Source organism: Homo sapiens, chromosome 1 (genome assembly GCF_000001405.40).
Source record: "Homo sapiens chromosome 1, GRCh38.p14 Primary Assembly".
Taxonomy (NCBI): domain Eukaryota; kingdom Metazoa; phylum Chordata; class Mammalia; order Primates; family Hominidae; genus Homo; species Homo sapiens.
The window spans coordinates 162,093,690-162,116,282 of NC_000001.11; the positions used below are offsets into that span (position 1 = coordinate 162,093,690).

At 40.9% G+C, this 22,593-nt stretch overlaps 1 protein-coding gene and 1 long non-coding RNA gene across 3 annotated transcripts in view, besides 1 other annotated feature; one reads left to right on the forward strand and one right to left on the reverse strand.

Moving 5' to 3' along the window:
* NOS1AP (nitric oxide synthase 1 adaptor protein) overlaps positions 1–22,593 on the forward strand; it is a 300,785-nt gene that overhangs the window by 23,999 nt on the left and 254,193 nt on the right. The gene's annotated exons all lie outside the window — the stretch shown is intronic.
* Positions 17,705–17,874: an enhancer, noted in NCBI's record as "experimental_577 CRE fragment used in MPRA reporter constructs". NCBI's record gives its function as "activates a minimal promoter by MPRAs in K562 erythroleukemia cells, with activity observed for both the introgressed and non-introgressed 1:162081269 variant alleles {active_cell/tissue: K562}" and the evidence as "EXISTENCE:reporter gene assay evidence [ECO:0000049][PMID:34662402]".
* The window catches only part of LOC105371475 (uncharacterized), a 61,354-nt gene continuing 58,938 nt past the window's right edge, over positions 20,178–22,593 (reverse strand). The window contains exon 4 of the long non-coding RNA XR_007066699.1: positions 20,178–20,213. This is a non-coding gene — a long non-coding RNA (uncharacterized LOC105371475). The remainder of the gene's footprint in view (positions 20,214–22,593) is intronic.

Consider the following 22,593-nt stretch of genomic DNA (forward strand, 5'->3'; position numbering starts at 1 on the left):
GACCACAGGCATGCACCACCACCCTGGCTAACTTTTTATTTTTAGTGGAATCGAGGTCTCACTATATTGCCCAGGCTGGTCTTGAACTCTTGGGTCCAGGTGATCCTCCCACTTTGGCCTCCCAAAGTGTTGGGATTACAGGCATGAGCCACTGTGCCTGGCCTGTGGACATTACTGAAAAAAATTAAGCAACAGTACAAAGCAGTTAGTCAATGTGAACAGGGCCCACAATACAATTTTCCGTCCTCTAGGACTTATGTTTCTAATGATTTTGACCAAGAAGATGGATTCTAATGTTCCTTCTGGCAGCCTAGTTGTTCTGTGACTTATTAAGACCTCAATAGGCGTAAGTGCTTGTCTGTAACTTTCCTAGCCTTTCTTGAAAGCCAGATTTATCAGTGTGCATATTGTGTGATAGACTCGCACCAATGGCAGATGTGTGGTTGGACTCTCAGCTGATGGGTAGGAGTGAGTAGTTACCCTCTTGGGAGGAGGAGGGGGCTTTTACACACTCTTGCCTCACTCTGAAAGTGAACTTTGTTGTGTGCTGGAGTGGTCTTCATGGCATCATAAACACAGGTTGGTTCTCTTCCCTATGCTCTTCATTCCATTTACTTTCATCTTTCATCAAGACAGCAGATGGACTGGTAGGGAGAGTGATATTTGCTTGTTTTTCAGACTCTGGTCTGATTGAAATGTTGGTGGTGTGTGCTGAGTCAGACTCAGTAAACTCCTGCTTGATTTATTCTTCCCCTGGAGCCCACAAAACCCGTAAAACAGAATTAGAGAACCAGCCCCTAATCATGCTTGTTAGGGCTAACCATAAACACAGTCATGTTGATGGATGGATGGTTTAATAAACATCTGCTGAGTGTCTGAGCTGAGTTCTGCAGGCATGCCCTGGGCCTGTCCTGAACCTGGCTGGGAAGTGGACACTTGGCAGATTCTGGGACATTTTAGGGACCATCACCTTTCTTTTGACTTTACACTTGTTGAAGCTCTGTCTTGAGTAAGTTTGGTGATTCAGACAAGATCTCTCAGCTAGTTTAGGATTGAGCAGAGAGGATGCAAGTGTTGACTTCTGTCCTGTTAATGGTCCTTCCAAACCATGGTCCAGTTGTTGAAGAGTGGGTGAGGGTGGAAACCAGGTATCGCTGTCCATTCCAGCTCTAATTCCAGCACCAGGCAGCCACATGTCATCTTCTACTCCTTACAGTGCTGCTGGGAACATGTTCCAGTTGCTAGAAAGAGGGATGGGGTGTAACGGGTGGAGCAGCTGGCTTTAAGTCCACTCACACTCCACTATGGGTTCTGCAGGGATTTTGTGTCATGAATGTGAGTCTGACCTAAATGTCTTTTTTCATAGCCCAGTGTGGGCAATTGGCAACAGTTATAGGAGCTGTGGCATCATATCTTCTACAAATTTCTTAGTGAGGATTGATCAGTGACTTACAGATGGAGTGCTATGGTCTGAATGTTTGTGTCCTCCCCGAATTTTTGTGTTGAGGCCCTAATGCCCAGTGTGATGCTATTTGGAGGTGGGGCCTTTGGGAGGCAACTAGGTCATGATAGCGTGGTCCTCATGAGTGGGATCAGTGCCCTTATAAGGTGAGACAGAGAGATGATCTCTCTTGCTGCCCTGTGAGGATATAGCAGGAAGGTCTGTCTGCAAACCAGGAAGAAACTAAATCACCTGGCACCTTGATCTCAGACTTCTCAGTCTTCAGAACTGGGAGGAATAAACTTCTATTGTCTAACCCACCAAGTCTATGGCATTATTTTTGTTATAGCAACCCCAACTAAGGCACTGGGTGTGTGTATACTCTGTGGCATTAGAATATGAAGTTGGGAGACAAGGAAAGAATGTAGTAATTGATAGAGCTAATTCAGAATGTTAAATTGTCTTTTCTACTACCTGTGTATTAAGTTCTGTAGGGACCATATTAGACTGCCAACACGCCTGTATGTGGGGTTCCCTCATCCGGTGAGTGGGGTTACTTGTGTCACAGAAGATGGAGTTTGGTGTCTGGAGACCTACGTTTTAGTACTAGCCTTGATACCAACTGGCTGTAAGATACTGAGCAAGTCACTTAATCTTTGTCAGCTTCAGTTTTTTAACTGATAGAATGAAGTAAAGCTGTTCTTTGCATGATTATTGTGGAGATTAAATAACGTGAATAAACTGTAAAGCACCCTTCAAAGACTACTTATCATGTGGAATTTACTGGATAGTCTTCAAATCCAATGTAGACAGTTTCTCTGAGCTTGCTTTTGCTCTCCTCCAGTCTCCTGTCTTCTAATTCATCCTGTTTAATCCTTGTTGGTGAGTATAAGTTAATATTCTTAATTTTGTTACTGTTAGGTTATTTTTATTCTTTTCAATTTTCTACCACTAGCATTTAAGGAGACTTGCAGTAAATGCTTTTCAAATTTCAATATTCAACAAATATTAATCAAGCATCTCCTAAGTATAGGCTCTGCAGTGAAGATAGGATGGTAAATGGAACATTAATGGTTCTTTCCTCTGCAGTGTCTTCTACAGGAGGGCATCTGCTTCTGTTCAGAGAGCTCCAATGATGGGGAAGTCTTCACTTTCCATGTCAGCGTATTTATTTAGAGGTAGCTCTAATTGTTAGGTGACTTTGCCCTCATATCAAACCAGTGTCTTCCAGTGTAACTTTACCAGTTGAACCACCATCAGGCCTCTTGACATGAATTTGATTTTTAAAACATTACAAAATATTTCAGGCATACAAAAATATACGTAATATAAAGATCATGTAGGTATCCGCCACCCAGATTAAAGAAAAAATATGTATAATTGAAGTCCCCTGGATACTCCTCCTTGATTTAATTCTCCTCCTTCTCTTTTTCCCAAGAAACAACCACTATCTTGAATTTATTTTATTTTCCCCATATATTTATACTTTTAAAAAACATATGCATATATCCAATAACATTATACAGTGTTGTTTGCCATGTTTTTACATTTTATTTAATGATATAATATGGTGCTTATTCTAAGTTTGCTTTTTTCCTACTTAACAATATGCTTTTGAAGTTTACCCTTATTAGTTCATTCATTTTCACTACTGAATCTTATTCCATTGTATAGATATACCACAACTTATTTATTCTTCTGTTGATTGCATTTAGGTTGTTTCTAGTTTTTCACAATTGTAGACTGCTGCAGCAAACATTCTTGTATAAATCTCCAAGTCTCCTTGAGCACAGTTACTAGTTTGTTAGATTATATATCTAATTGTGGAATTGTAGGACCATAAGCTGAGCACATCCTCCACTTTGTTTCTTCCACTTGTAAGATTGCTGGAGGGATATAAATTGACAAAATATACATTCATATTGCTGTGCTCTACACCCCTGGTAACCCTTGGTTTTGTTATCCTTAACAGTTTTTGCCAGTATGCTGGGTATTAAAAAAAAAAAGTACATTTCCCTTATTACTAGTGAGTTAAACCATCAGTTTCTATGTGTATTGGTCATTATGTTTTTCCCTCTTATGCGATTGCCTCTTCATATCTCTTGCCCATTTTTAAGCTGAGTTCTTTTGTCTTTTCCTTGTTAACTTATAGGCATTCTATCTAAATGCTGGTCTCAGTTATGTGTATAACAATTGTCTTTTCCACTATGTGGCTGCTGTTTTCACTGTCTTTATGGTATCTTCTGATGTATGGAACTTTAAGATTTAAATGTAAAATGTATATCTTTCCTTTTTATTTGTGTTTTCTTTGTCTGTTTCAACATTTTCTGTAATCTGTGATCATAATAGTGTTCTTCTATATCTTCTAAGGTTTTAAAGTTTGCCTTTCACATTTGCATCTGGAATTTATTTTTATGCATGGTTTGAAATAAGATTCTAATTTTGTTTTTTCTCTATGTAGATAACCAGTGGTTCTGAAGCACTTCATTCTGTCTGTTCACCACTTTTACCATGTTGTTGCTGTCATGTGTCAAGTGTATATGTGTGGAGGTCCATTTCAAGGTTTATTCAGTTCTATTGGTCTGTTGATCTCTCCTTCATTTAGAACCTCTATCTTAATTATTATAGCTCTATTTTAGTCTTGCGATCTAGCGGGATGATTCCTAACCTTATGGTCTTGGCTATTCTTGGGCCTCCCTTTGCTTTCTCATATAAATGTTAGAATCAGTTTAGTAAGTTCTTTAAAATAGGTATATTTATATTTATTCGTTTTTTTTCTTTATTTGTCTTTTTGGGTTGAGATTTTTAATCAGAATCATGTTGAATTTATAGAATAATTTTTGAGATTAATGACATCTTTATGATATTTAGTCTTTTAGTCCATGAATATGGCTTTATCTCTTCATTTATTTAGGTCTTCATTAATGAATTTTAATAAGCTTTTATTTATAATAGTTTCTTCTCTCTTTTGCTTTTTTTTTTTTTTTTTTTTTTGAGACAGGATATTGCTCTGTCACCCAGGCTGGAGTGCAGTAGCGGGGTCTCAGCTCACTGCAACCTCTGCCCCCTGGGCTCAAGCAGTCTTCCTGCCTCAGCCTTCTGAGTAGCTGGGACCACAGGCGTGCACCACCATGCCCGGCTATTGTTTGTATCTTTAGTAGAGAGGAGGTCTCACCATGTTGCCCATGCTTGTTTCGAACTCCTGGGCTCAAGTGATCTACCAGTCTCAGCCTCCCAAAGTGCTGGGATTACAGGTGTGAGCCACTGCATCTGGCTGATAGTTTCTTAATTAAATTTGTATCTACCTTTTGTTGGATTGATTTGTAGGTGCCTTACAGTTTTGTTTGGTACAATTAACGGTGTCGTTTTTTTTTTTTCTCTAACTTTTATTTTAAATTCAGGGGTACATGTGCCAGATGTCCAGGGTTTGTTACATAGGTAAATGTGTACCATGGTGGTTTGCTGTACAGATCATCCCATCACCTAGGTATTAAGCCTAGCATCCACGAGCTATTCTTCCTGATGCTCTTTCTCCCCCCAACTCCTGATAGACCCCTAGTGTGTGTTTTTCCCCACCTTGTGTCCATGTGTTCTCATCTTTCAGCTCTCACTTATAAGTGCGAATATGTGGTGTTTGGTTTTCTGCTCCTGTGTTAGTTTGCTGAGGATAATGGCTTCAAACTCCATTCATGTCCCTGCAAAGGACATGATCTCATTCCTTTTTATGGCTGCATAGTATCCCATGGTGTATCTGTACCACATTTTCTTTATCCAGTGTATCACTGATGGGCATTTAGGTTGATTCCATGTCTTTGCTACTGTGAATAGTGCTGCAGTGAACATATGTGTGTATGTATCCTTATAATAGAATGATTTATATCTCTTTGGGTTTATACCCAGTAATGGGATTGCTGGGTTGAATGGTATTTCTGCCTCTAGGTCTTTGAGGAACTGCCACACTGCCTTCCACAATGGCTGAACTAATTTATACTCTCACTAACAGTGTAAACGCATTCCTTTTTCCCCATAACCTTGCCAGCGTCTGTTACTTTTTGACTTTTTTTTTGTTTTTTTTTTTTGAGATGGAGTCTCGCTCTGCCAGGCTGCAGTGCAGTGGCACGACCTCGGCTCACTGCAAGCTCCGCCTCGCGGGTTCACGCCATTCTCCTGCCTCAGCCTCCTGAGTAGCTGGGACTACAGGCGCCTGTCACTACGCCAGTCTAATTTTTTCTTGTATTTTTAGTAGAGATGGGGTTTCACCGTGTTAGCCAGGATGGTCTCAATTTCCTGACCTTGTGATCCACCCTCAGCCTCCCAATGTGCTGGGATTATAGGTGTGAGCCACTGTGCCTGGCCTACTTTTGGACTTTTTAATAATGGCCATTCTGACTGGTGTGAGATGGTATCTCATTGTGGTTTTGATTTGTATTTTTCCAATGATCAGTGATGTTGAGCTTTTTTATTTTCATATGATTATTGGCTGCATGTATGTTTTCTTTTTTTTAAATTTTATTATCATACTTTAAGTTTTAGGGTACATGTGCACAACGTGCAGGTTTGTTACATATCTATACATGTGCCATGTTGGTGTGCTGCACCCATTAACTCATCATTTAGCATTAGGTATATCTCCTAATGCTATCCCTCCCCACTCCCCCGACCCCACAACAGTCTCCGATGTGTGATGTTCCCCTTCCTGTGTCCATGTGTTCTCATTCTTCGATTCCCACCTATGAGTGAGAACATGCGGTGTTTGGTTTTTTGTCCTTGCGATAGTTTGCTGAGAATGATGGTTTCCAGCTTCATCCATGTCCCTACAAAGGACATGAACTCATCATTTTTTATGGCTGCATAGTATTCCATGGTGTATATGTGCCACATTTTCTTAATCCAGTCTATCATTGTTGGACATTTGGGTTGGTTCCAAGTCTTTGCTATTGTGAATAGTGCCGCAATAAGCATACGTGTGCATGTGTCTTTATAGCAGCATGATTTATAATCCTTTGGGTATATACCCAGTAATGGGATGGCTGGGTCAAATGGTATTTCTAGTTCCAGATCCCTGAGGAATCACCACACTGACTTCCACAATGGTTGAACTAGTTTACAGTCCCACCAACAGTGTAAAAGTGTTCCTATTTCTCCACATCCTCTCCAGCACCTGTTGTTTCCTGACTTTTTAATGATTGCCATTCTAACTGGTGTGAGATGGTATCTCATTGTGGTTTCGATTTGCATTTCTCTGATGGCCAGTGATGATGAGCATTTTTTCATGCGTTTTTTGGCTGCATAAATGTCTTCTTTTGAGAAGTGTCTGTTCATATCCCTCACCCACTTTTTGATGGGGTTGTTTGTTTTTTTCTTGTAAATTTGTTTGAGTTCATTGTAGATTCTGGATATTAGCCCTTTGTCAGATGAGTAGGTTGCAAAAATTTTCTCCCATTCTGTAGGCTGCCTGTTCACTCTGATGGTATTTTCTTTTGCTGTGCAGAAGCTCTTTAGTTTAATTAGATCCCATTTGTCAATTTCGGCTTTTGTTGCCATTGCTTTTGGTGTTTTAGACATGAAGTCCTTGCCCATGCCTATGGCTGCATGTATGTTTTCTTTTGAGAAGTGTATGTTCATGTCCTTTGGTCACTTTTTAATTAGGTCATTTGTTTTTTTCTTGTAAATTTGTTTAAGTTCCTCATAGACTCTGGATATTAGATCTTTGTCAGATGAATAGATTGCAAAAATTTTCTCCCATTCTCTAGGTTCTCTCTTTACTCTGATGATAGTTTCTTTCACTTTGCGGAAGCTCTTTAGTTTAATTAGATCCCATTTGTCAAGTTTTGCTTCTGTTGCAATTGCTTTTGGCCTTTTCATCATGAAACCTTTTCCTGTGCCTATGTCCTGAATGGTGTTGCCTAGATTTTCTTCTAGGGTTTTTGTAGTTTTGAGTTTTAGATTTAAGTCTTTAATCCATCTTCAGTTAATTTTTTTATATGGTGTAAGGAAGGGGTCCAGTTTCAGTTTTCTACATATGGCTGGCCAGTTCAACCAGCACCATTTATTAAATAGGGAATCTTTTCCCCATTGTTTGTTTTTGTCAGGTTTGTTGAAGATCAGATGGTTGTAAGTGTGTGGTCTTCTTTCTGAGTTCTCTATTCTGTTCCATTGGTCTATATGTCTGTTCTTGTACCAGTACCATGCTGTTTTGATTACTGGAGCCTTGTAGTATAGTTTGAAGTTAGCATGATGCCTCCAGTCTTGTTATTGTTGTTTAGGATTGTCTTGGCTATTTGGGTTCTTTTTCAGTTACATGTGAATTTTAAAATAGCTTTTTCTAATTCAGTGAAGAATGTCAATGGTAGTTTAATGGGAATAGCATTGAATCTATAAATTACTTTGGGCAGTATGTACTTTGGGCATTTTTATGATATTGATTCTACCTATCCATGAGGATGGAATGTTTTTCCATTTGTTTGTGTCCTCTCTGATTTCTTTGAGCAGTTGTTTGCGGTTCCCCTTGAAGAGGTCCTTCCCTTCCCTTGTTAGCTATATTCCTAGGTATTTTATTCTTTTTGTAGCAATTGTGAATGGGAGTTCATTCATGATTTGGCTCTCTGCTTGCCTGTTGTTGGTGAATAGGAATGCTAGCAATTTTTGCACATGGATTTTGTATCCTGAGACTTTGCTGAAGTTGCTTATCAACTTAAGAAGCTTTTGGGCTGAGATGATGGGGTTTTCTAGATATAGGATCATGTCATCTGCAAACAAAGATAATTTGACTTCCTCTCTTCCTATTCGAATCCCCTTTATTTCTTTCTCTTGCCTGACTTCCCTGGCCAGAACTTCCAATACTACGTTGAATAGGAGTGGTGATAGAAGAGGGCATTCTTGTCTTGTGCTGGTTTTCAAGGGGGAATGCTTCTAGCTTTTGCCATTCAATATGATATTGGCTGTGGGTTTGTCATGCATGGCTCTTATTATTTTGAGGTATGTTCCAGCTATACCCTGTTTATTGAGAGTTTTTAACGTGAAGGTATGTTGAATTTTATCCAAGGTCATTTCTTCTGCATCTATTGAGATAATCATGTAGATTTTATCTTTAGTTCTGGTTATGTGATGAATTACATTTATTGATTTGTGTATGTTGAACCAATCTTGCATCCCAGGGAGGAAGCCAGCTTGATCGTGGTGGATAAGCTTTTTGATGCGCTGCTGGATTTGGTTTGCCAGTATTTTATTTAGGATTTTTCACTGATGTTCATCAAGGATATTGGCCTGAAGTTTTCTTTTTTTGTTGTATCTCTGCCAGGTTTTGGTATCAGGATCATGCTGGCCTCATAGAATGAGTTAGGGAGGAGTCCCTCCTTTTCAATTGTTTGGAATAGTTTCAGTAGTTTCAGTAAAATTTCTTTGTACTTCTGGTAGAATTCAGGTGTGAATCCATGTGGTCCTGAGCTTTTTTTGGTTGGTAGGCTATTTCTCAATTTCAGAACTCCTTTTTAGTCTATTCAGGGATTCAGTTTCTTCCTGGTTCAGTCTTGGGAGGATATATGTGTCCAGGAATTTATCAATTTCCTCTAGTTTTTCTAGTTTATTTGCATAGAAGTGTTTATAGTATTCTCTGATGGTTGTTTGTATTTCTGTAGGGTCAGGGGTGATTTTCTCCTTAATATTTCTGATTGTGTTTATTTGATTCTTCTCTCTTTTCTTCTTTATTAGTCTGGCTAGTGGTCTATTTTATTAATTTTTTCAAAAAACCAGCTACTGGATATGTTGATTTGTTTGAAGGTTTTTTTTGTCTCTATCTTCTTTGGTTCTGCTCTGACCTTGGTTATCTCTTGTCTTCTGCTAGCTTTTGGGGGTTTGTTTGCTCTTGGTTCTCTAGTTCTTTTAGTAGAGATGTTAGGTTGTTAACTTGAGATCTTTTTAGCTTTTTGATGTGGGCATTCAGTGCTATAAATTTCCCTCTTAACACTGTTTTAGCTGCGTCCCAGAGATTCTGGTACGTTGTCTCTTTGTTCTCATTGGTTTCAAAGAACTTGTTGATTTCTGCCTAATTTCATTATTTGCTCAAGAGTCATTCAGGAACAGGTTGTTCAATTTCCATGTAGTTGTGTAATTTTGTGTGAATTTCTTAACGTTGCGTTCTAATTTGATTGCGCTATGGTATGAGAGACTGTTATTATTTCAGTTTTTTTTTTGCGTTTGCTGAGGAGTATTTTACTTCTGATTATGTGATCAATTTTACAGTAAGTGCTGTGTGGGAATGAGAAGAATGCATATTCTGTTGTTTTTAGGTGCAGAGTTCTGTAGATATCTATCACGTCCACTTGATTCAGAGCTGAGTTCAGGTTCTGAATATCTTTGTTAATTTTCTGTCTCAATGGTCTGTCTAATATTGACAGTGGGGTATTGAAGTCTCCCACGACTACTCTGTGGGAGTCTAAGTCTCTTTGTAGGTCTCTGAGAACTTGCTTTATGAATCTGGGTAGTCCTGTATTGGGTGCATATATATTTAGGATAGTTATCCCTTGTTGAATTGAACCCTTTACCATGATGTAATTCCCTTCTTTGTCTTTTTTGATCTTTGTTGCTTTAAAGTCTGTTTTGTCAGAAACTAGGATTGTGACCCTTATTTTTTTCTGTTTTCCATTTGCTTGGTAAATTTTCCTCCATCCCTTTATTTTGAGCCTGTTTATGTCTTTGCACACAGCATACCAATGGTTGGCTCTTCATGCAGCTTGCCATTCTGTGTCTTTTAATTGGGGCATTTAGCCCATTTACATTTAAGGTTAGTATTGTGATACGTGAATTTGATTCTGTCATCATGACGCTAACTGGTTATTTTGCAGACTTGTTTATGTGATTGCTTCATAGTATCACTGGTCTGTGTACTTCAGTGAGTTTTTGTAGTGGCTAGTAATGATTTTTTGTTTCTATATTTAGTGCTTCCTTCAGGAGCTCTTGCAAGGTAGGTCTGTTGGTGACAAATTCCCTCAGCATTTGCTTATCTGAAAAGGATCTTATTTCTCCTTTGCGTATGAAGCTTAGTTTGGCTGGATATGAAATTCTGGGTTGGAAATTCTTTGCTTTAAGAATGTTGAATATTGGCCCCCAGTCTCTTCTGGCTTGTAGGGATTCTGCTGAGAGTTCTGCTGTTAGTCTGATGGGCTTCCCTTTGTAGGTGACCTGGCCTTTCTCTCTGGCTGCCCTTAACATTTTTTCCTTTATTTCAACCTTGGAGGATCTGACTAGTATGTGTCTTGGGGTTGATCTTCTCATGGAGTATCTTACTAAGGTTCTCTGCATTTTCTGAATTTGAATGTTGGCATGTCTTTCTAGGTTGGGGTAGTTCTCCTGCATGATATCCTGAAGTATGTTTTCCAGCTTGGTTCCTTTTTTTCCCATCTCTTAAAGGTACCCTACTCAGTCATAGGTTTGGTGTCTTTACATAATCCTATATTTCTCGGAGGTTTTGTTAATTCCTTTTCATTCTTCTTTTCTCTGCTCTTGTCTGCCTATCTTATTTCAGAAAGGTAGTCTCTGAGATTCTTTCTTTCACTTGGTCTATTCTGCTACTGATACTTGTCATTGCATTGTGAAGTTCCTGTGTTGTGTTTTTCAGCTCCATCAGATTGGTTATGTTCCTCTCTAACCTGCCTATTGTGGCTATCAGCTCCTGTATTGTTTTATCATGATTCCTAGCTTCTATGCATTGAGTAACAATATGTTCCTTTAGCTAGGCCAAGTTTGTTATTACCCACTTTCTGAAGCCTTCTTCTGTCAGCTCAGGCATCTCATCCTCAGTCCAGTTCTGTGCCTTTGCTGGAGAGGTGTTGTGGTCATGTGAAGGAGAAGGGGCATTCTGGTTTTTGAGTTTCTGTGTTTTTGCATTGATTGTTTCTCATCTTTATGGGCCTATCTACCTTAGATTTTTGAGGTTGCTGACCTTTGAATAGGGTTTTTGAGGGGTCTTTTTTGTTGGTGGTGTTGTTTTCTGTTTGTTTTTCTTTTAACAGTCAGGCCATTCTCCTGTAGCACTGCTGCAGTTTGCTGGGGGTCCACTCCAGACCCTAGTTGCCTTGGTTTTTCTGTACCCAGAGGTATCACCAGTGAAGGCTGTGAAACAGCAAAGATGGCAGGCTGCTCCTTCCTCTGGAAGCTCTGTCCTAGGAGGGCATTGACCTGTTGCTGTTCTGCACACACCTGTAGGAGGTGGCTGGAGACCCCTGTTGGGAGATCTCACCCAGTCAGGAGGAATGGGATCAGGGACCCACCCAAAGAAGCAGTCTGGCTGCCCTTTGGTAGAGCAGGTATGCTGCATTAGGGGGGTACCATTCCTCATTCAGATCATTTGTATACTACAAAGCCAGCAGGCTGGAACAGCTAAGTCTACCAAACTGCAGAGATGGTGGCCGCCTCTCCCCCTGGGAGCTTTGTAGTAGGGAGAGATCAGAGCTCTCTCTGTAGAACCCTTGCTGGAGTGGCTGAAGCCCCCACAAGGAGGTCTTGCCCAGTGAGGAGGAATGGATCAGGGTCCTGCTTAAAGAAGAAGTCTGGCCACGATCTGGCAAGGCAGCTGTGCTATGGGGGAACCCTCCTTCTCTGGACCGCCTGTATTCTTCAAAGCCACCAGGCTGAAATGACGGAGTCTACCAAACCACAGGGATGGTGGCTGGTCCTCCCCTCTGGGAACACCATCCTGACTCAGGATGACTCCAGCCTGCTGCCACCAGCCAGCTGGAATTGCAAGCCAGTGGGTCTCAATCCACGTGGTGCTGTGAAAGTGGGGCCCGAAGAATGATGCCAGTTGGCCCCTGACTCAGCCCCCTTCCTAGGGACATGCATGGATGGATCTCCCACCTTGCCATGGATGCCGGGGCCAGAGTATGCAAAACTCCTGGGTCTCTGTGTGTGGCTGAGCCACTCCCTGAGTGGCTGCTCTGCTGAGATTCCACACAGCTCTCTGTATTGGACCCAAATCCCTGGTGGTGTGGGCTCATGAGGGGATCTCCTGATACGTGAGTTGCAAAGATCCATGGGAGAAGCATGGTTTCCCAGGCAGGGCTGCACAATCACTCACTGCTTTCCTTGGCTGGGGGTTGGGGTTCCCTTGGCTCCGTGCAGCTCCTGGATGGGCCACTGCCCCATCCTGCTTCTCTTTGCTGTCTGTGGGTTGAGCTGTTTGCCTGGTCAGTCCCAATGTGAGAACTCAGATATCTCAGTTGAAGTTGCTGAATTCACTTGCTCCTTTCATTCCTTTCTCTGAGCACCACGGACTGGAGCTGCTTCCAATCGACCCAATGGTGTCTTTTAAAAACTTACATTTTCTTGCTACTGGGGGCTGGTATTCTTTGCTTGTATTTTATGGCTCTTTTCACTACTAGATCACCTTAAATGTTTCTCATCTTCTCTATTCCAGATATATATGTTCTTTCTTAGACTGTTCAGCAGTAGACCCTTGACTTACAACCAGAAATATGAAGAATTATTGCCACAAATGGCTTATAATACTATGAAAAGATGCTCAACTTGACTTGTAGAGTAATGTAGATTACATCCAGATAGCATTTCTCATGATCAGATTGGCAAAATTCCAAAAGTTTGACCACAACTCTGTTGACAAACTGTAGGGGGAAATCGATACGTACATTGTTATTTGCTGGGGGAATGCAAAATAGCATAAAGCTGATCTATTAATATGTGGGGGAATGGGCAATTCCCAGTACAATTAAATCTACAGTAAATCTGAAGATTGCTAGACAAAATTCCTAGAATCCTCTAGGAATCTATCCCAAAGATTTACTGGCAAAATATTTTTTATGAAATATGCGTTTTACTATTCATTGGCACACTATTTGTAGTAGCAAAAAGCTGCAATGACTGAAATATTCTTCATTAGAGGACAGTTGGGTCAGCTGTGGTGCTTCCATAGGGTGGAAAACTATGAAGATGAAAAAGAAATGGGAAATATATCAGTAATAGAGTGATTGTCATGATATATTAAGTGAAAGAACAAGATACCACTTGTCTAAGAAATAAGAGAATACGTATTTTCTTTGATATTTGCTTTCTTTTAAAAGAATAAACCATAAGAGAATAATAATAGAAAAAGGAGAAGAGGGGTAATGGGATGGAGGGAAAGGAATAAAACCTAACCATTTCTGAATATACTTTGTTTTCTTGGTTTGGTCATGGAAACATGCAAATTTTTAACATAATTTAAAAAATAGAGACAGGGTCTTCCTCTGTCATTCAGGCTGGAATGCTGTGGCATGGTCATAGCTCACTGTAATCAAACTCCTAGGCTCAAGTGATCCTCTCACCTCAGCCTTCTTAGTAGCTAGGACTATAGGTGTGCACCACCACACTCAGCTAATTTATTTTTTGTTTTTAATTTTTTGTAGAGATGGGGTCTTGTTATGGTGCCCAGGCTGGTCTCGAGCTCCTGGCCTTAAGCATTCCTCCTGCCTTGGCCTCCCAGAGTGGCAGGATTACAGGCATGAGCCACTGTGCCTGGCCTTAACATAATTTTGAAATAAAAAACATATAATCCCTGAGAAAACCAAATAAATCTAAGTGTGTATTGAGCTGGTTAGCATAACCCACAGAGAGGAACAGACAGGAACTCAGCCAACTGGCTTTAAAACACAGGGATTTGATTGTATATCCCTATCGGCGTGTATCATAAAGGTACCCAAAGTGCAGAAAACACTGTAGGCTGTTTTTAAATTATCATTACTGGTGTTGGTATTCTGAGATTCTTACGTGTATTGTGAGATAGAATAAACAACGAATTATATTTATAGGAGGAAGGAAACATTGACATTTGAACAATAAAATTAGGAAAAATTCTTGCATTCTTGAATTTGAGTTGGACATACAATATGAACTCAAAGCATTTTAGTATTTTTTAGAAACATGGTCTACCTCTGTCCACAGAGAAGGGCCAGAAACTATGGCCGGCCCAGTAACAATGAGCATTCCTTGTGCCAGACTGTGATTGCCAAATACCATTTCCTACAAAAAATAACCAGGGCTCTTTGAAACAATGGCTGCTTTCAGATTTGGAGCAGGAGATATACAAGATGTGCCTGGTTCATCTTTTTACAACAGCAAGCAGGGAAACTCTGGAGGACTCCCAGGGTCATGTTGTAGAAGGACTCAGGAACCAACGTGAAGAGGTTCCTACTGGTCAAGTTTGAACATCATATTGGATAATACAGCACTGGATTGAAACATATCACACAGGTTTAAATACATGAGTTTGTAGTGATACTCAAGAAAAAAAAATCAGTCACTTTTGCAGGATGCTAGGAAATTAATGAATTACTTTGAAAACTGGTAAATAAAGGGAAAGAAATAAGCATTTTACAAACTATGCCTTAGGATGACCAAACTGGTAATGAAGGAAAGTTTCTCTTTATAAAAGTAGCTACAGGAGAGATGAAGAGGGAATGATATCACATCATTATTATTTTGTAATTCCTAGTTCATGGATCTAGGCAATGATCAACAATGGCTGCTGACAACATGAAAAAATATTGCCAAAAAGATTGCCTAATCTGAACAAGCCTCTAAATTTAACAAACATTAAAAAAAAAGGATTTATACAGGGGGCAGAGGAATGTGTTAAATAAAACTATGGGAGTGCAATCAGCAACATTTAGAAGTAGGAAACTACAGAAAAATAACCTGGAGTTTCAATAGTTGCCAATAGATATGAAAAAAAAGATGGAGGGTAGACTTATAGATTAAACATAGATGTATTCTCACACTGCTAATAAAGACATACTGGAGATTGGGTAATTTATAAAGGAAAGAGGTTTAATGGATTCACAGTTCCACATGGCTGGCGAGGCTTCAGAATCATGGCGTAAGGCAAAGGAGAAGCAAAGGCACATCTTCTATGGTGGCAGGCAAGAGAGCTTGTGCAGGGGAACTCCCATTTATAAAACCATCAGATGTTGTGAAACTTATTCACTACCATGAGAACAGTATGGAGGAGACCACCCCTATGATTCAATTATCTCCAACTGGCCCCACCTTGACATATGGGGGTTATTACAGTTCAAGGTGAGATTTGGGTGGGAGCACACCCAAACCATATCAATTAACCAGTTACAGTGTGTGAACCTTATTTGGATCTTAAGGATAACAAAGTGTTTAACAATTTTGAGACAACCAGGGAGAATTTGAGCACTGGCTGGCTATCTGATAAAACAAATTGTTAGTTGTTTTCAGATGAGATAGCGTTGTGGCAATTATATTTAAAGAAAGGTCTTTATCTTTTAAAGGTGCATATTGAATTATTTACTTCTGAAATAGATGACATTTTATTTGGGATTTGTTTTTAAAATAAAGGGCTGATGAGGAAGCAGGTGGGTATGGATGAAACCAGAGTCGCCCTGTGTTGGTGGTGACTGAAACTGAGTAATGCGTTTATTCATTGTACTATTCTTTCTATTTTTGTGTATGTTTAAGCTTTTCAGTGGTAAAACATTAAATGAAAATAGCATTCTTAGCATAAATAGGGCTCAGAAGAAGGGAATTTCTGAAAAGTTCTATGTAAAATGGGTCTCTATTAAGTTTCATTTTTATAATGTCTTTGTACATCCGAGATAAGTTCCTAGAGGGAAACAGAATGCACACTGGGTATCTGCAATTCATTCCTGTTTTAGTTCAGCTCACCAAGCCCTTAAATTCGTGATCACAGAGGAAGACAACCCAAGTTTGCATCCCAGGGAGACCATTTGAAAGATGACTTCTTAATCTAGATTATGATTCTCTTTTAATCTGGCTCTGACCTCTGCCATCATCCCTTCCAGCCAACTGCAGACTGCAGTGTCTCTGAAGATGGAAAAGGACCTGTTTTCCAATTTCCAAATGCTCAAGCACCCTTTGAAAAGCCATCAACCTAGAGAGGGACTGTGACCTCCCCATGTCACTTGGCCAGTGAGTGGGATAGCTGGGATTCGAACCTGGGTCTCTGAACTTCCACTGCGCTGCATTCTACTGCTTTGCTCTCATTGAATAAATTAAATTCTACATGTCGGTTCCCCTCCGGTGAGGGGTGCCTGTATTCTTTGTTGAGCTTACAGTGTGCTTTTTAGGAAGAGTTTTTGCCCTAAGTTATATGTAGACCACTGTGCCTGTCTGGGCACATGTTCACCAGCCAAATAACTTTTAACATGCCCAAGGAAATGAACACAGGCTCCAGGGTCTGAGGAATATTAAACTGTGGGCAAGGAAAATTTTAATATGGATTATATTAATAAATTTGTTGCTTTAGAATTTCAAACATGATTCAAATACATGCACCACGTTATTTGTTCCTCCTTACCTTACCGGCTGTTATCAGTGATGGAATGGCTTGTCAAGTCTAAGACCCCAATCAGAATCTTATGACTTCAAAATCCTCACTCTCTCTATTTTATCACACTACCTCTTTCTTTTAGCAGAATTTGAAAATAGTAATGTAATATCTTTAGGTGATGCCAATGACCTATCAGAGTATGGCTTAGGCTGTTGCTGTCATCATCACCAAATGAGTAACAATGATTTCTAGTTCAATTTAGTACTCACTGTGTGACAGGCATGTTTGGAAACTTGAGTTCTGTCTAACATTTAAAAATAATAAAATTTAATTTTCATAAAACCCCTATGATGTACATATTAAAGTTGTATTTGCTGTGTGACATTGGATAAAATTAAATAGTTTCCAAAGTCGCAGCACTAATAAATAGTAGAGCCAGGATTTGAATCCAGGACTGTCTGATGCCAGGCCCTGAGCTGTAGCCATTAAGTCACTCACTGATGTCCATTCATTCAATAGCAGATATTTATTGAGCATTTACTCTATGCCAGGTACTGTCTCAGGCACTGGGGATACAGTTGTGATGAGATGGATATCCTCCCTTGTCCTTATACAACTTACAACTAGTGAGTAAGACAGACAGTAAACAAGATATTTTTAGGCAGTGATGAGTGGTTTGTAGGAAGTAAAACTGGGCAATGTGACACAGAGTGTCTGGAGTATAAGACTAGGATGCTGCTTTAGGCCTTTGGGGGCTTGTCTGAGGTCAGATAGGACTAGAGTATTCCAGCCAGAAGGAACAAGTAGAAATTAAAGATCCTATAGTTGAAACTGGCTTGGTATGTTTGGAGAACAGAAAGAGAATACAGGAGAGAACATGAAAGCCATTGGAGAGGCAGTGCTCATCCAAAAGCATGGATAGAGCTCCCCACATCCTCATCCCAGCCCCCTGGTGATGTAGGCGTGGTTGGGGCGAGGAGTACTGCCTTTGACCGTGGAGGAGAGCTTGTTGACTTGTGATGGGACTCATTTCTGAGAAACAAGCTCTGTCCCAGAGGAATGACATATTTCTTTCAGACCATGGGCTCTGAAGTCTCAAAACAGTAGGACAGGGATAAGTAGTTGAGACCTGGCTTGATGGCATGTGTGAAAATGATTTTGGCGTCTTAAACGGCATCAAGTAGAAGCAACATCAACAGTGTGGCCTTATTACCAAAAAAGTTGCTGCAGTCAGAGGCTTTCCTGAAGGATGACATACAGAGAGGTCAATGCCTGCCAAATACAAGGAGAATATTTCTGGCCAAAAATGGAATAGATGTCTTGGAATGCTGATGTAGTCCCTCACAGTCATCGAGAAGCTGCTCTGCCCCTGGTCAGGAATATTGCAGAAATGAGTCAAGCCGGGTTAGTGTTGGAAGAAGAGTTGGACTAGCTCATCTCTGTGGGCTTTCCAACCTGCAGTCCTCAGGGCCTCATTGCCAGGGTGGCAGTCCATGGCAGTGGTGGTTGGTAACAATTTATGGGAGATGAAATATTCAAACCCAAATTATGTTCCTAACTGGTTTACCGCTCAGGCCAGTGCTCCTTCGTGCTCCGACTCTTCTCACTGTTCTGCAGCCTGTGGTCACTGAGTTGCTCTGGGATCCCTATTATTTTTATTGGTACCTTATTTAATGCAGCTCTACATTTTCTAGCTAACTGGTACCATCTGTCTGTAATCACACTTCTCAGATCTGCCTCCTTGTCATCAGCCTACCTCCCTCTCTGATGGTTGGGAACTAGTTGTATTCTCCGAAGACTTGCTGTACTTTAACATTTTTACTTGGCATGGCCAACAAAAGTACCATATATTGTCTGTGGAAGCCAACAAAAGAAGGCTTGGAAAAGAAGGCTTGAGTTGTCATCTCACGTTAAGAGCATCCTGGCCTCTAGTGGAGGGTATACAAGAGTTGGCTCTAGGTTCTGATTCCTTTGTTACTGGGCTTTGACTGTGTAGCCTTGGCCCCCTCTTCAAACCCCTCTGGGTTCCAATTGGTTTATCTCTAAACAAGTTGAAGGGATTAGACCAATGGCTCCCTGGAGGGCCCATCCTGCTGTCAGATCATTCAAAGATGTTCATTGCCAGTTCTTTGCACCATGAGGAACATATTTGGACTTTTAGACAGGCTCTGACTTCTCAGAGCTTGCAGTCCAAGACATTCTGACATGGATGCACATTTAAAAGACAGACACTTTATAGATAGATTATTGATCAATTTTGCCACTAGTGTGAAGCTGTCACTTCTGAAAAAGGGATATGTTTTTCCTTCTCACTTTTACTGCTTTGGTTAAATCATTTGCCCTAAGAACTCCCTCAAATATAGATGTGCATATGCCATAGACTGAGTATATTAGCATTATAAGCATGTCAATGCCATAATAGCACCTTTTTGCATAAATTTATGTTCTTTATAACAACTTTATGGGGTGAATTGCTTTAGTCTGCAATAAAAAGATATGGGAATTCAGAGAGGTGAAATTTCCCTCTAAAGCTTCTGAGCTCCTTCATTATGCCTGGCTTCAGTGCCTGTGCTTTGTTTGCAGTTCTGGGCTGCATCTCTGAATAGGTATATTAGGTCAGTGGGTATATCAGGCAGAGGGTGGTGGGGATAGGGGGTTACTGAGGGAGTTAAGTTGACAGGATCAGAGATGAGGATCCCTGGTTTCTAGAGAGGAGGCTGAGGGGAAGCCTACACCTCTTCTCCTGATAATCCTGGCAGGAGGTGGAGCATGAGTCTGACAGCAAGCAGGTTATGGGGGATGTTGGTTCCCATAGTAAGCACAATTGTTGGAGCATTACTGGAGGCAGTCCAGGCATGACTTGGTTGTTAGGACGTCCACACCTCAAGCCTGCAGAAGTGTGTCTGGCGGCCCAGTGGGGTCCTGGCAGCCCCACAGTGGAATGTGTTGTCGGGCAAAGGCTGCTGATGAGGGCACCTCCTCTAATGAGTCCATTCTTGCATTGTTGTAAAGAAACACCCGAGACTGGGTAGTTTATAAAGAAAAGAGGTTTAATTGGCTCATGATTCTGCAGGCCGTACAGGAAACATGGCAGCATCAGCTAGCCTTCTGGGGAGGCTTCAGGAAACTTATGATCATGGCAGAAGGCAAAGGGGAAGCCAGCACTTTACATGGCCGGAACGGGAGGAAGTGGTGGGGGTAGGGAGGGGTGCCACACACTTTTAAACAACCACATCTTGTGAAAACTCTGTATCACCAGAACAGCACCAAATGGGGAAATCCGCCCCTATGATCCACTACCTCCTGCCAGGCCCCACCTCCCATACTGCGGATTACAATTTGACATATTTGGGAGAGGACACAAATCCAAACCATCTCCTCCTCTTACCTGTCCATCCTTCACCTCTTAGGAAGGAGGGCAGCCACAGTAGAGCACTTGCCTCTAGTTGCTCTTGAGCACCCTTCCTGGGTAAGAGAATTAAAAAAAAAAACAATTTTATGATTCTAAAGGCAGTGTTATTACAGAAAGTTTGAAAACCCAGAATTTATACAGAAAAACACAATAACAACAATGGGAGAATGTTTCCCGTGGTGGTGTGGTAAATATGGCTTCCTTGCTCATTTGTAGTTTCAGTTTAAGGTGGCACAGTGTTTGGATTATAAACAAACACTTAATTTGAATGGAAAGAACTGTGGTGTCTTTCACTCTAAAACCCCAGTGTAGAAAGAGGCCATATTATTTTCCAGCAGGACAAGATCACCCTGTTTAGCTGGTGTATCAGTCAGGGTTCAACCAAAGACGAATAGGGGATATATATATGAAGAGACTTATTGCAAAGAACTGGCTTATGTCTCTGTGGGAGCCGTTAGACAAGTGCAACATCTATAGGGCAAGCTTTCACGCAGAACTCTCAGGCACAAACTGAAGCTGCTGTCCAGAGGCAGAGTTTCTTTTTCAGGGGAACTTCAGCTCTGTCCTTGAGGCCTTTTGACTGATTGAATCAGGCTCACATATATTATCTTGGATGGTTTCCCTAAAAGCCAGCTAATTATGGGCCTTAATCACATCTGCAAAATACTTTCACAGCAATACCTTGATTAGTGTTTGGATAACCAGGGACTGTAACCTAACCAAGTTGACATATACAAAATATCATCACATCTGATAATCTGTCCTCTTTGAAAATTAATCTGGGAAATTGGATGCATCATCTGCCTTGGTTGTCCAGCCCCTCTTTCAACAACCTTCCTTGCTAGGACATAATAAGGGCTAAAGTCAATCCCAGTGGTCTCATCGGGACCTGCCTACCTGCAGCATCGTGTTCTGTCTAGATTTTGTCATATTCACTTGTATTTCTGCTTCCTAGGTATGCTTAAGTCATCGTTTGCGTCTATGTGACCTCTCCCCGTGACTAAATCGGAAGTTGTTGTAGGGGTGGGATGGTATCTCCTGTTGCATTTGTCTGTCCCTTGATGGTCTAAGTGCTGCAAGTGCTCTAAGTGGCTTTTCAGTAAACAGTGACTGATATCCATGAGTTAACTTCAGGTCCCATAATGGCCAAGATTCTTATGTCTCCTTGTTATAGCTCCTCATGGAAGAAGGAGCAGCTTGTTTCATTGCATTTGTTTTTGTTCATTCACTTACAGATTGCCAAGTAAGCATTGTTCTAGGTACTGAGCCTATGGCAGTGAACAAGACAGACAGGATCCCTCCTCTTTTGGAGCTTTACAAAACTAGTAATGGTTGTTAGAGATGTGGTAGAGGGAGAGGAAGGAAACTAATAATAAACAAGTATACAAATTAAACAAGCTAATTTCAGATACTGTAAGTGTATAAGGGAAAATAAAACAGTATACCATGACTCTAAATTGGGTGGTCATTTTCTGACTTCAAATAATGACTCCCTAGCTATGTGATGATGGGTAAATTACTTCACCTCTTTGAGCCTCAGGTGCTCTGTTTTTTTTTTTTTAAAGAAGGTAAGAATCTGTGATGTTTGGGTTCCAGGCCAACTGAACTGGGAGTTGTTGTAGGTTTTTGTGAGGGGATTCTTGGAAGAGGAATTGTCTAGAAATGTAATCTGGGATGGTGAGAGCTTTGCCTCTCAAATGTGGCTTGCAGACCAGCAGCAGGTATCATTGCAGAGCTTTTTAGAAATGCAGACTCTCAGGCCCCTTCCCAGACCCACTGAGTCCAATGTGCGTTTTGCCAACAGCCCCATGTGATTTTTCCGTATAGTTTGAGAAACACTGGAGTGGGAGGTTGAGGGCAAGTTGGAGTAACTCAGGTGTAAAACATTGGTTTCATCTTGAAAACTAGAGGCAGGGAGGAGGAAGAGAATGAATTCAAAGGTCAGTTTTATCCCGGGTGAGGTCAGTCTCTGAACAATTGACTTAAAAGAAACCAACTTATTACCAAGATTGTCAGTTGATCAGATATTTATGGGAGGTATGCAGGTTTTAAATTCTGAGAATTTGTACTGGTCTCTATCTAGGACACATCTCTCTGGGTGCTGAGTCCTCTCACGATGTCAAATACTCAAAGTAGAAGGTTGTTTGGCGATTAGAGGATTCAAAGTAGAGGTTGTTTGGCGATTGAAAGGATATTCAAGCTAGCATTGCTGGGTGTGTCATCCTCCTTTACTTAGGAATATTTCCTTTTAAGATCTAGGTTTAGCCTTTGTGAGGCTGAGCCCCTGGCCTCTGAAGTGTGAGGACAGCTGTGTCACCTTCTCCAGAAGCGGGGTCGTGACTCACTTTTGTATGCAGTCTGTGTCACCATCGTCCTCTGTAGTGGACTCCTGAGACTGCTTTGCATCCGTCACATTTCAGGTTGATGCCCTGT